General features: G+C 41.3%; 1 protein-coding gene and 1 long non-coding RNA gene across 11 annotated transcripts in view; one reads left to right on the top strand and one right to left on the bottom strand.

Annotated features, from left to right (window-relative positions):
• CLYBL-AS3 (CLYBL antisense RNA 3) overlaps positions 1-4,381 on the top strand; it is a 216,296-nt gene extending 211,915 nt beyond the window's left edge. Inside the window, exon 5 of the long non-coding RNA NR_120421.1 lies at positions 4,314-4,381. This is a non-coding gene — a long non-coding RNA (CLYBL antisense RNA 3). The remainder of the gene's footprint in view (positions 1-4,313) is intronic.
• CLYBL (citramalyl-CoA lyase) overlaps positions 1-13,144 on the bottom strand; it is a 302,755-nt gene that overhangs the window by 164,194 nt on the left and 125,417 nt on the right. The window lies entirely within an intron of this gene.

Raw genomic sequence — 13,144 nt, 5'->3', positions numbered from 1 at the left:
AATCTATGTTATGGTTTATTTGTGACTTAATTCCATTTTCTGTAACAATGGCAAGAAAGACAGAATAGGTCAGTTAGAGATGGAGAGAACCAGAAAATCTTTTGTGCTTGTCTTTTGAATTTGGTAGCTGACTTTAAAAGCAAATTTAATCTTATATCCTCTCTAGCTAACGCTGATATTTGTCTTCCCTTGGAATGTGCTAATGACATGCTAAGGGATAGGTGGCTGGGGAAGTATGTTGGGTGACAATCTCAAGTGGTCTCACTTGAGATTGAAAGGTTGTTGCAGGTTTTCATGGCACCAAATGGACAATCTCCAAATGGTCCTGCCTGTGACTCCAGATGCAGCAATGCAGGTGGAGGACAGAGAAACACTGAGCTCCAAATAGGGAGCCCTGAAGCACCCAGTAGCAGACAGACCTACTACCTGGGATGCAGCTTCTGCCTGCTCAGCACACTCCCCATTGAGCCCTCTATTGCTCCTTTGTTCCTCTTTCATCTCATATCTTCTCTTTCCCTTGCCCTGGGTACCTCCCATCTCTCTCACTGAGTGCTAGGTCCCAGCTCCTAAATGCATTTCCATAGGAAATTTAATCGCCATCTATCTCTCTGAATTGGTGCTTACTCCTTTGGTCACTTAACTTGGATTAGGCGTTCTCCACTTGTACAGGTCCTAGAGGGCTTAGCGATTTTAGGTCTGGGGTGGCACATCCCAAAACCAGTCCCTTCAGTCATAAGAACCCTGCAGACTGCTGGCCGCTCAGATGGACCAGCCAGCTCCCAGATGGTTTACGTCTGACTAGGTCACCCCTGCCAGGTCTCTGTATGGTAAGAGAAGTTCCAAATGCCAGAGGATATCTCAGAACTTTTCCCTCACACTACAGTGTAGGTGTGATGAGTAACTATTCAAAAGTCAAATAAGGGAGCAAACTTTCAAGTGGTTCTCCCTGGCCTCCAACATTTTAAAGAAAGTGGAGTGTAGCTGGGCGCGGTGGCTCACGCCTGTAATCCCAGCACTTTGGGAGGGCGAGGCAGGTGGATCACGAGGTCAGGAGATCGAGACTATCCTGACTAACACGGTGAAACCCCGTCTCTACTAAAAATACAAAAAATTAACCGGGCGTGGTGGCGGGCGCCTGTAGTCCCAGCTACTCGGGAGGCTGAGGCAGGAGAATGCTGTGAACCCGGGAGGCGGAGCTTGCAGTGAGCTGATATCGCGCCACCGCATTCCAGCCTGGGTGACAGAGCGAAACTCCGTCTCAAAAAAAAAAAAAAAAAAAAAAAAGAAAGAAGAGAAAAAAAAAGAAAGTGGAGTGTAGAAGCAAAATCTAAGAATTCAGGTTATCCCGAGTCCCCGCAATACCGCTAGACTGCAGGAGCAACCCAAAGGCGCAGGAAAGCGATAGGATTTTAAATTACAAAATACCAATATTGTAATTACAATTTATTACAATTTATTACAATTTTGTAATTACAATTAAATTACAAAATACCATTGTGATTCCCACTAATTAAGAAAGAAAGATGTAAGTTGTTTGTTATAAACACCACCAGGTCTTGAGCAAACACCAAGAGAGCTCACCACAGAGCCGAACCAACCATTCTTCAAATCACAGCTGCTTTCCAAAGCGTTTCCTCAGTACAGCCACAGAGTGTGCATTTTATCACACATGCTAATAATCCCAGTTATGGCGCCTACATTTTAATCATTTGTTCTGGGCTTGTTTCTCAAACAATTAGCACTAATGAATGGCCAGAATACCTTAGATCATATATGTCTAATTGCAGTCAAGAGCGGTTCTTGTCTGCATGTACATTTCAATTTACCTCTGGGGATAATGTTTGTTAATTGTATTTCTTTATACGCAAGTGAAGAAAAAGGCAGCTCAGGCAAAAAAGGGACTAAGTGTTCTCCTCTTTCCCTTTGTTCCCACAAGAAGCTAAAGTCACTTCAAGAGGCACTTAATCCCATCATTCGCGGTTACAATTGCCCTGCAGCATCAATCAAAAAGAATCTGAAGTAAAATGATGCAGCTATATTGTGTAATTAAAAGCAATTCAGGTAGTTATGGCTTGGGGCCCTTTATGGCTCCAAATACTTAAAATGGCCCTGCAGGGATCCTAAACACTGTAGTGTTTTAAATTTGGTCAGCAGCAATCTCTCTGTGGAAAGGAAGGAAGATGCAAAGAAAAAAAAAAAAGAAAAAGAAAAAGAAAAAAACCCGAACCCAAACAAAAAGCCCGCTACCCTCTTCTAGTGCAAATTGTAAAGCAGAAGAAAAGAAGAGGGCTAGCAAAAGTGTGAAGTGGAAAAAAACCTGCAACTTGCAGCCACCAAATGAAATAAACACAGAAGGAAAGGAGGAGGAGAAGGAAAACAGATGATGTTTTCCAAACCAAACAGTCCCTGTCCCAATCCAAGTTCTGCACTTAAGAAAGAAATGTGTAATAATATTGGCTGGGTCTCTTCAACATCCAACAGCCGTGTTGGCTCTATAATATAAAAATAAAGGCTTTCCGAAAATTCAAACTTATTAAGAAAATACAGAGTACATTTATGGTGTGTCTAATTCCACAGTTACTTGTAAAGGCAAGATGTGAAAAGTACTTTTTAAAAGTTTGGGCATAGATTTCTAAAGTGATTTACTTAAATCATCTTTTAAAGGATTTTAAAGTGCTGAGACTTTTGGGTGTCTAATTTGGCTTTTAAAGCCAAGAAGAGCTTAACACAGTGTTTTCTGCTGTGAACTTTAAAAGAATGAAGAGCCATCATTGACAGAGGCTGGCAACAGGCATAAGTCTCTGGTTTTGTTTTTAAGTAAAAGCGTAACTCTTCAACAAATACAAGACTAGATGTTAAAATAACAACATGTGTAACTTTTATCCTCATTTCCCCTTTTATAATAAAAATAGCAAAGAAGGCTTCCTGCTTATTTATGAAAGAATTTCAGGAAAAAGTGCTAAATGCATGACTGGGTAAGCTGTTGAATGGTAAGGAATTTTCCAGAAAGACACCAGGTTTCTCCCAGTGCAAGGTGCGACCTAGAAGCAGTTGATGAGTGAAAGGGCTCCCGGAACCGAGTGCTCCATAGCGGCTTCAGTAAACACGTTCCAAGGTACAAATTAGTGGCAAATGTAATTGCAGCTGAAAACTAGCACGTGTGAACATGTCAGGGTCTCATTGCAAGTGAACATTCAAATCATAAAATGATTGTCAAGTGAGATATTTACACACAGAATTGCCCTCATTTTCCACATAAATATTCTAACAACTTAAGTCAGTGCAAATGCTGACAAGTGACAAAGGCAAAAGTACAACCTCATACGAACTACTGATGCAGAATGGTAGAATGGAACAATAATGTTTCTGTCCCTAAGGAAACTAAACATTAAAAAAAAGCTCTCATTGTAAAACTCTGCCTACCATGCTTTTTCAACTAGATTGATCATATGGTTAGAGACACTACATATGCTTGGCTGGGCACGGTGGCTCATGCCTATAATCCCAGCACTTTGGGAGGCCAAGGCAGGTGGATCACCTGAGGTCAGGAGTTCAAGACCAGCCTGGGCAACATGGCAAAACCCCGTCTCTACTACAAATACTTGAACGCGGACTAGAGTGCAGTGAGCTGAGATCATGCCACTGCACTCTTGTCTGGGCGGCGGAGTGGGACTCCGTCCCCCGACCCCCACCCCCCAAAAAAAAGATACATATGCTCAAATGGTTTTGTGTTGAGAGGTATTTCCTGTAAGTTTAAACCTTTTATTCAGCAGTCAGCCTTCAAGTATCCCCACAAAATCACAAGCCCTCGATGGATGAAGGTTGGGGTCTGCCGTGCCAAACTGCCATGTTCTTGTCACTCTCTCCTTCTAGTGGCCTGGTAAGGTGACACACTCCCTGGGACTATGAAGAAGTGGGTGACAGAGGAGTGCCTTCTGGCTTATCTGAGCTTAAGTCCCTGACTCCCCAACACCACCAAACTTCCTAGAGAATTTACTTCATAACAGGCATGGGTGCTTCTTTGCCCCATTTGTGCCACTGAAGTATCTGTTTTGTGTCCTACAGTTCTTTCCCACTAGCTTTAAGATTCCTATCTGTAAGTACTTCTTTTAGGGAAAGGAAGTGTAAACTTTAACAAAGAACATTTTAGAAATACCCAAAACTGAACTAAGCAAGAAGGAGAAAAATGAATTCATTGATAATGAATTTCAGGCAGAAGTCTGTACTTCAATTTGTCTCCAGTAACAATTTTGAACAGGATTCCCATCGACAGGTGCTTTATAAATATCATATTTCTTTACTTTCGCACCCAGGTCCCTGCACCATCCCTTGTCCCTGATGCTTTCCTGGAATTCTCCAGGGACGGTGCCCATCACAGGCTGCCAGGAGCAGCCCCACAACTGGGTCCTTCAATTCCTGCCATTGATCCAGCTGTGTGCACGCCGTTAAATGCTGCCAGGTCAAGCTGGAGAGCAGGACTTGAAAATTCAGTGCTAATTACTGTGATTACAATCTGTGTCCCAAGCAGCCAAAGCCTCTGGGAAGAGTCTACGGGCGACCTGTCTACGAATCAAAAATCTCAGTTTGAGAGATGCAGAATCTATACGTGTGGACTTTCCAGCTCGTTAAGTCATAATATGGGCGTCAAGTCGCTAATGATACCTTCTCCTGAATGCATATGAACTAAGGCAAGACCGGCACATAGAAAATACAAGACAGACGGAGAGGGGAAATGAGTAAGAACCCACGTAGCCACAAAAATATCTAACACCAGATCCTGCAGCGTGATGCTCAGATGGCAATTTTCTTAAGATGTCTTGAGACTCACTGTATCCAAGCCAGCGAGTGAGTGGGTGCTTAAGGAAAGATGCTTACAGACATCATTGCCCTGCAAGGTACAGGACAGCATTTGTCATGAGACTTTCGAGCCTCTTAGCACACATGCTGATTGTGTATTTACCATTGAGCTCTCAAAGGCAGAGTCACTAAAGTCAGAGGAAATGATTTCATAAATATCTCCCACAACATTAAAGAATCATAGAACTAATGCCAGAGAAGGCGAAGATAGAGCGTTCCTGGGCACGTACAAATTTCTTTAAGTTTGAAGCATTTGGAAATGGTTGAGAAACAAGACATATTTATGGCCACTGGGAAGCAGCTAGTTGCTCTGGAGTACACATGGCTCATTTTCCTTTCTTCACAGACTTTGTGCAGATATGATAGTCTTTGTTCAGGTTTTTACAAATACAGTTTTTTTGTTTTTTTGTTTTTTTTTCCTCAAGATGGAGTTTCGCTTTTCTTGCCCAGGCCGGAGTGCAATGGTACGATCTTGACTCACTGCAACCTCCGCCTCCCGGGTTCAAGCAATTCTGCCTCAGCCTCCCAAGTAGCTAGGATTACAGGTATGCACCACCATGCTCAGCTAATTTTGTATTTTTAATAGAGATGGAGTTTCACCATGTTGGTTAGGCTGGTCTTGGAACTCCCGACCTCAGGTGATCCACCCACCTCGGCCTCCTAAAGTGCTGGGATTACCGGCGTGAGCCACCATGCCCGGCCACAAGTACAGTTCTTCTAGGGCATGGAAATTAGAATGGAATTAATTGCTCTGAATTATCATGTAGAATACTAAAGGGATTTCCATACTCACAGTGACATAACAATTCTAGCCTTCCAGAACATGGCCAAAGAACTGAGTATGATTTCAGATCTAAACCATCACAGGGACCCCTCAGCAGCTGGTGGGCATCCACAGGCTTTCCGTGGGCCCGTAACAGGGATTCCAGAGGCAGAAAGGCACCTTGGGGGACACCCTGGCCAGTGTGGTCCTAAAACAGTAGGCAGAACGCGACCCATCATTTTTGAGCCTGGCCAGAGTCTGCCAACACGTGTTGAATACCACAGAGTCCTTCATGAAAATATGACTTAAAATATTTTCCTTTCCTCCCCTCATTTCCTTTCCTCAAGTACTAAGTTCACACGGTGTGTCTAAGTGTGTTTATTTGAAAATGCAATCCCTTTTAAAGGGCTTGACTGTTTCATATTACGAACACTGAAATTAGGAGAAAAAAATTTCCAAATAAAACCATTTATAAAACACCATTATTAGATGACTATTTCATCTTGTTATTGGCTGCTTATTTGAGCTAAATAAATTTTTAAAAACAGACATGATCCTATGTTTTAAGATTTTGGTATCTTCTGAGAACAATTTTACTCTTTTTAAGGATTAAATGAAATCACAATGTTAGCTTGGCAAAACACACCAACCCTGAATTTTTAAAGAGCCACTGATGTGTATTCCCTGCACTTTTTGAATCCTCATGACAATGTCTGTTAACAGCACGAGAGTCACAGCTGAGTGTCCAACTAGTCAGGGAACGCTGTGCAGTACAGTGACAGATGCAAGCCTTGTCCCCCTCCCTCCTCCCAGGCAACTGCCCCCATTCTCATTTCCTTCCTTCTTTTCACAAGAATTTATCGAGCTCCACACCAGGCATCTCTGCCACTCATAAACTGAGTGATCTAGTAAAGTCTAAACATTTGAATACCTAAGTTTTCGGGGTTTCCATTTTGTTTTTTACCATGTACAATCAGAGGCTGGCAAGTCCCCTTGAATCTCTGGGTCTGTTTAGTTTGACACTGACACAAGCTTATCACCATTGAGCACAAGGCCTTTTCCGTGGCTGCACTCAGGTGTGTTGACTGACTGACCAACGAACAGACTTGGCAGCCTCCTACCTGGTTAATTGCAGGTACCATCCAAGTCATCATCTGGGGAAATGTCTCCTTTCTCAGTGGCCAAGAAACCCTTACATTTGATCCATTTCTCAGACAAATTCTAATAACTGTCTGCCCTATACAATGCCATAGCCACCATCTGTCCCCTACAGGCTGAAATACAGCTTACTCGAGATGACAGCTAAACATAAAATGAACCAAAGATATGTTCTGATCAGTACAAATACACAGAAGCCTATCCCAGAAATACTTTTAACCAATTTTATACAACTGATTGGTTCTTTCAAGGAGCCTTTAATTTACTCCATCCCTAATTAAGTTGTTACATGAATCACGAAGGTTTAAATATTAAGATAAAGGCAGATATTTCAATCAGGGAATACCCACCATGGTTTAATTAAAGAATTTTTGCATCTCACTTACAGAACATTGCTCCTTAAGTACTGCATGGCATTTATTTAAAATGTCCCGGAGGCAATTAAGCCCTTGATTAACAATAAAATTTTCTTCCTTAACTTCATTCTCAATTACCATGAAGCTCATTTCTCATTGCCTGGGACTTCCTGCATGTGGTACTCAATAAATGTAACTCGTATGTAATTGCATATAAGCCACCAAAAAAAAAGGTTAGAAAAAATTGACGCGCACAGTAGCTAGCCTCTTCTAAAAGTTGGAGGACTTCACTGTGGTGCAGTTTGCCTCCCTTATCACATTCAGCTTACAGCCTAGCACATCTCTGTTGGGATGACTCCACTCTGGGTCATGGGACAAACAAGGAACCTGGTGACCAGGACGCAATTCCTAACTCTTGACAGTTCTGTTTTTCTTGAGCTCAGGAGGGGAAAGCATAGTGATTAACAACACTCTTGCGCACATGACTCCTCTAGTCTATGCTTCAAGGAGAAACAACCAGTCATGAGTCCCCAGACTCGCCAGCTCCAAAAATCTTGCCACTTCCCTGGAAAGGAGGTGAGAGGTAAGGAAAGCCTAACAGTGAAGAGCATGGGCTTTGGAACCCAGCACACCTGGAGTTGGTGACACCCTAAGCATGTTACTTAACCTCTTTAAATCCCAGATTCATATTAGGAGTTGGATATAATAATAGGATTGTTGTGAGAAGTCAATGAAAAGATACATGTAAAACCCTTGACGAAGCACCTCGTGCACAGGAAGCCCAATTGATAACAGCGACTGTGGCTGAGAAGACACTTGCCCCTTCCCCTCTGACCTCCATGAGCTAGACACTTGGGCCTGGAACACCATGGCAGGCATTTTGCCACATCTAGGAAACACACTTACAGGGGGACCGGGGAGCTGCTGCTGGGCTAAGGAGCTGGCCCTGCAGAAAATAAAGATGGATTTGTATCAACTCTCTGATGCCCCCCATATTCTTCAGAACTTAACCCTCAGACAAGCTATATATAAATTTGGGCTTATCTGTGAATTTTTAATCAGCACTAAAATAATGTTATGATTATCTATGTATATTGTCTATATCTAAAAAAGAAAGAAAAATCTAAAGGGTTTTTTTTGGCTTTCATTTTATTTTAGTGTTAGACAATTTTTAGTCAGTATTTCATTGATTCAACAAATAGATACTGGGCACCTAAGCCAGGGTCTGGCAATATGAAAATGAGGACAAAATTCAGCCTTGGGGGAAGTTGAGGTCCAGCGAAGGCAACAGACAAAAAATGTGAACACTGGTAGAAACCAATGGCCTGAAGCCTGGTGGGGAGGGGCTCATTCAGCATAAGAGGGCAGTGGAGAGGGTTCTCAGAGGAGTGACAGTGAAATCTGGCCGTGGAGGGAGAAGGACAAACTCCAGAGTCAAAGATGCATTCTGGGAGCCACAGAGTGAGGAAAACAGGCAGGACCATAGATTTCATCTCCTCAAGTGGCACCACAGATTTTTTTTTTCCTTGAAAATGTCATGCATATTTCTAACTCTTACCTGCCGATTTCATGCAGGTAGAGGATTCCCAGGCATAAATATTAGCTCTTCAAAATACCAAGACAGTGTCCCTTTCCAATGCTGCAGTTTGTTACAGATGGTTAGCAAAACACTGACCTCCATTATCCTAAAATTTTCTGAACCAAAAAAAAAACCTCATCTTTTGCTCTCCAATGAGATTTACTTATACTTTAAAATTTTATCTTAGAAATATATAGGATGGCCGGGTGCGGTGGCTCATACTGTAATCCCCACACTTTGGGAGGCTGAGGCGGCCACATCACCCAGGAGTTTGAGACCACCCTGGCCAACATGGTGAAACCCCATCTCTACTAAAAATACAAAAATTAGCTGGGCGTGGTGGCGGGTGCCTGTAATCCCAACTGCTTAGGAGGCTGAGGCAGGAGAATCGCTTGAACTCGGGAGGCAGAGGTTGCAGTGAGCCAAGATTGCGCTACTGCACTCCAGCCTGGATGACAGAGCGAGATTCCAGCTCAAAAAAAAAAAAAAAAAAAAAAAAGAAAAGAAACGTATAGGATATAGTAATTCTGTTTCAAACAAACAATGGTCTTCCTTTAAGAAGACCCTTCCTTTAAAATCAGAATTGTGTTGAAAAGAGATATAGGACTATATTTTGTATTAACTGAAATCGATGAGAAGCATGATTTAGGTATCTACAGTGTATTAGGGATACTGTATCTGTCTAAGATACAGTATGCTAAGATAAAGGTACCAAGTCTTGTGCAAACAAACATATTCTCAATGGTAGATTTTTTTCTCTTTAACATTTATTAAATCCCTTATTTACATTATCTCACTTAATCCTTTGGACAGTCCTTTGAAGTAGGTACTATTATTGCTGCCTGTTTTATATATGGAAACACAGGTTTATTTTATTTTGCAATCTAAATTTTTTAAACAAGCTGCTATTGACAATATTATACCACATTTCACAACTGTACAATTAATATCAGTTTTCTCAGGGCACTGCACTGCACAAGCCAGAGCCTATTAACTCACATTCACATTAACCAGAGAAACTTCACTCTTAAAAAAAAAAAAATGCTGGGTGTGGTGGCTCACACCTATAATCCCAGCACTTTGGGAGGCTGAGGTGGGAGGATTACTTGAGTCCAGGAGTTCAAGACCAGCCTGGGTAATATAGCAAAGATCTCATCTCTACAAAAAAATTTAAAAATTAGCTGGGTGCAATGGTGCCCGCCTGTGGTCCTAACTGCTCAGGAGGCTGAGGCGGGAGGATGGCTTGAGCCCAGGAGTTTGAGTCTGCAGTGAGCTATGATCACACCACTGCACTTCAGTTTAGGTGACACAGCGAGACTCTGCCTCTAAAAACAAACAAGCAAACAAACAACAACAACAAAAAGCTAAAACAGAGATTCAGGCAAAGACAAAGAATGATAGTGAGAATATCTTTTTTTCCCTTCAAAATCATCTCTATTTGTGACAGCTTAGAGCAGCACTCAGCAAACTTCTGACTGAAAGGGCCAGATAGTAAATACTGCAGACTTTGCGGGCTGAGAGACAAATGGGAAGATGTTATATATGCGCTGGTATAGCAAGTGAGAACACAAATTTCCACAAATTTTTTTACTGGTGAAATTCAAAATAAAACTGGGTAGATTTTATAGTAATATAGTTCTACTATATTTTATAGTAGACTTCTATAGTAATATAGTTCTACTTGTGAGAAGAACGGAAATCTTTTGGGGGGAACAGCATTTTGCTTAACTGGGGTTCAAAGGTAATGTTCCCTATCATCGAATCATTCATCTGGAAGACTCATTCTTAGGTAGAAGGCTGTACAAAAATGGGCAGTACATGGGATTTGGTTCATGGCCCCTGCGTTAGAATATATGTCTATGGGTGTAGCCATGGACAAATAAATGTATAGGTCCTGATCTAAGTTACAGGGCAAAATGGTTAGGACTGAAGGCCTCGACTATCAAATCCCAGCCCCGTGTATGGGCCCTGGTTATTATTCAGAGATATCAGTAAGTAGAAAGATTTCAGGGCTCCCTAACTTGGGAGGTTTGAAGTCATTGCCACGCCTACTAGTTTGCACTAAAGGAAAGTCAGTTTGGTATGAATTACAATGGCCAACGTTACATTCTCCTCCGTTTTGTTTTTTTTTTTTAATCTCAATTTCTCTTACTTTTCTTATTCCCCCTATGCTGATGCCAATCAGTTTCTTTTGGGAAAGTTTTAACAGATCGGTTTTATGTTTTGAAGTACAGCAAGTATTTCATCCTCTCTTTAAAATACAAAACCCAGAAACCCAGGCTTTTGAGGGCTCTCTGCTCTTTGTGTGATCACAGGGGAGGGGAAGAGAGGGGAATGAGGTGAGGAGGGAGGTTATTGGCTCACAAAAGTCCAGACAGTATTTGACTAAAAAAATGCAGAGCAGGGGAGCAGGGCAGAAGAAATGAATCAGAAATCCCACTAACAGAGAAGGGTTATTTTTCTTCTAAAAGATTAAGGATCATAGGTTTTCGTGCTTACTCAGATGGAACAAGAAAAGATTTTAACCTCTGCCTCATTCAGTTTGGGTCTGAACAAAATAAAAGTCGAGCACATTCAAAACATCCATTAGAACTTTCTTCTTTCCTTAAGATGGTGAGACAACATCTGGTGAAAGATTTGGGGTTACGCTGCAGTCACTAACAGTCATGGGACAGAAAAGCTGAAAGCCCACCAAAAAACAGACAGGGAGATGGAAGCTGCACTGCTCCCCACCTTTCACATGGACAGATATTCTAGGTGAAGCGTCCTTGCCATTGTGAATTAAACTCCAGTTTAGCATCAAGCAGGACACATTAATTCCAGTTGTTCAGAAGGAACAGAGACGTGCGCATGGCTATTTTATAAGTGTCCAGAGGAGCATGGGCTGTTTCTTCTGAGGGAAGGAACCATATTTTCCAAATTAGTCCAAGGGGTAGTCGATGGGCGGAATGCCCATTTATCTACTTCGATAATGACCTGGTGTTCCTGATGACTAATAATGCCTTCAGGAAGTAGTTAAACACCACTATGTTGTATACTGGTGGTGCACAAGATAAAAAGCAAGGGAAATAGGCAAATGAGGAGAAAAAGGAAGTTCAGGCAATAATTTTGACAATAAAATGGAAAAAGTTTTAAGCATTCAAATTACGACGGGTTCATTCCAGCCTTACCAGCCCTCTCTGTCTACAGGGACAATTTTGGACAAGTCTGTTAATTTCCCTGGTAGAGTCAATTTCCTAGTAATTACAGTTTGTTTTTTTTTTTAAGTTCTGTTCTCTACTCATCTCTACTATATCTTACATTATTGGGATTATGAGATCTTAAAAGTTAATATAAATCTCTGATCACATTAACAAGACTGAACAGGGAGTAATCTTTGAGGAGGAAAAACAAAGACAAATAACTGATTTCAAGAGCCATGATTTTAGGAATTACTTTTTCTGCTGACTCCTGCACTATACTTGACACATAACAGATGCGAATTAAATATATACATGAATAAATAAATGCAAAAGCCAATTACCTTCAAATTAGCTTCATACAAATTCCCTTTCCTTAATCATACAGTATCATTAATAATTATTTGTAAAGCATTTTAAAAATTAGAAAAACAAGTAGAATTACCTATTTACTATTTACCTACAAACCAATGTGCTTCTGTTAATCATTCAAATGAAAAACACTGACACAGAAGTTTCAAAGAAAGCGGATGTATTTTTAAATATCTTTGGGTCAAGTGTAAAGTTATCCTGTCGAGACTGATGGGCAGGGAAAAGGTAATGAATGCCTCTTGTATTACAGCACAGTATTTTCATATTTTCATATCTTATTTTCATATCTTAACTCAATTTTTAAGCTGTCAAGATATTTGTAACACCTTGAGTTAATAGGTATGTTCCCTGAGATCAGAAACTGGCTACAGGTTTTAAAACTCATTTAAAATAGCAAAATTATAAAATAATGACCCATTATCACAATCCCCCTATCCACACAGCTTAAGATACACAGGAAACTGATTTCTCTCCGAAACCAAAGAAAGAAAAAACACCTTTAAAATAGGCCAGGCACAGTGGCTCACACCTGTAAGTGGCTAAGGAGGGAGGATTGCCTGAGCCTAGGAGTTTGAGACCAGCCTGGGCATCATGCTGAGACCCCATCTCTACGAAATATACAAAACTTAGCCGGGTGTGGTGGGATGTGCCTGTGGTCCCAGCTACTTGTTGGTGGGGGACGCTGAGGTGGAAGACTGATGGCTTGGGCCCGGGGAGGTTGAGGCTGCAGTGAATCGTGTTTGTGCCACTGCACTCCAGTATAGGTGACAAGGTGACAAGGTAAGACCCTGTCTCAAAAAAAAAAAAAAAAAAAAAACTGCCATATAATGCTGAAATTTCTAAAATAATTTGGTGTGGAAAATCACTAGTCTTTAAAGAA

Source organism: Homo sapiens, chromosome 13 (assembly GCF_000001405.40).
Source record: "Homo sapiens chromosome 13, GRCh38.p14 Primary Assembly".
Taxonomy (NCBI): Eukaryota; Metazoa; Chordata; class Mammalia; order Primates; family Hominidae; genus Homo; species Homo sapiens.
This window is presented reverse-complemented; position numbering and strand designations above follow the sequence as displayed.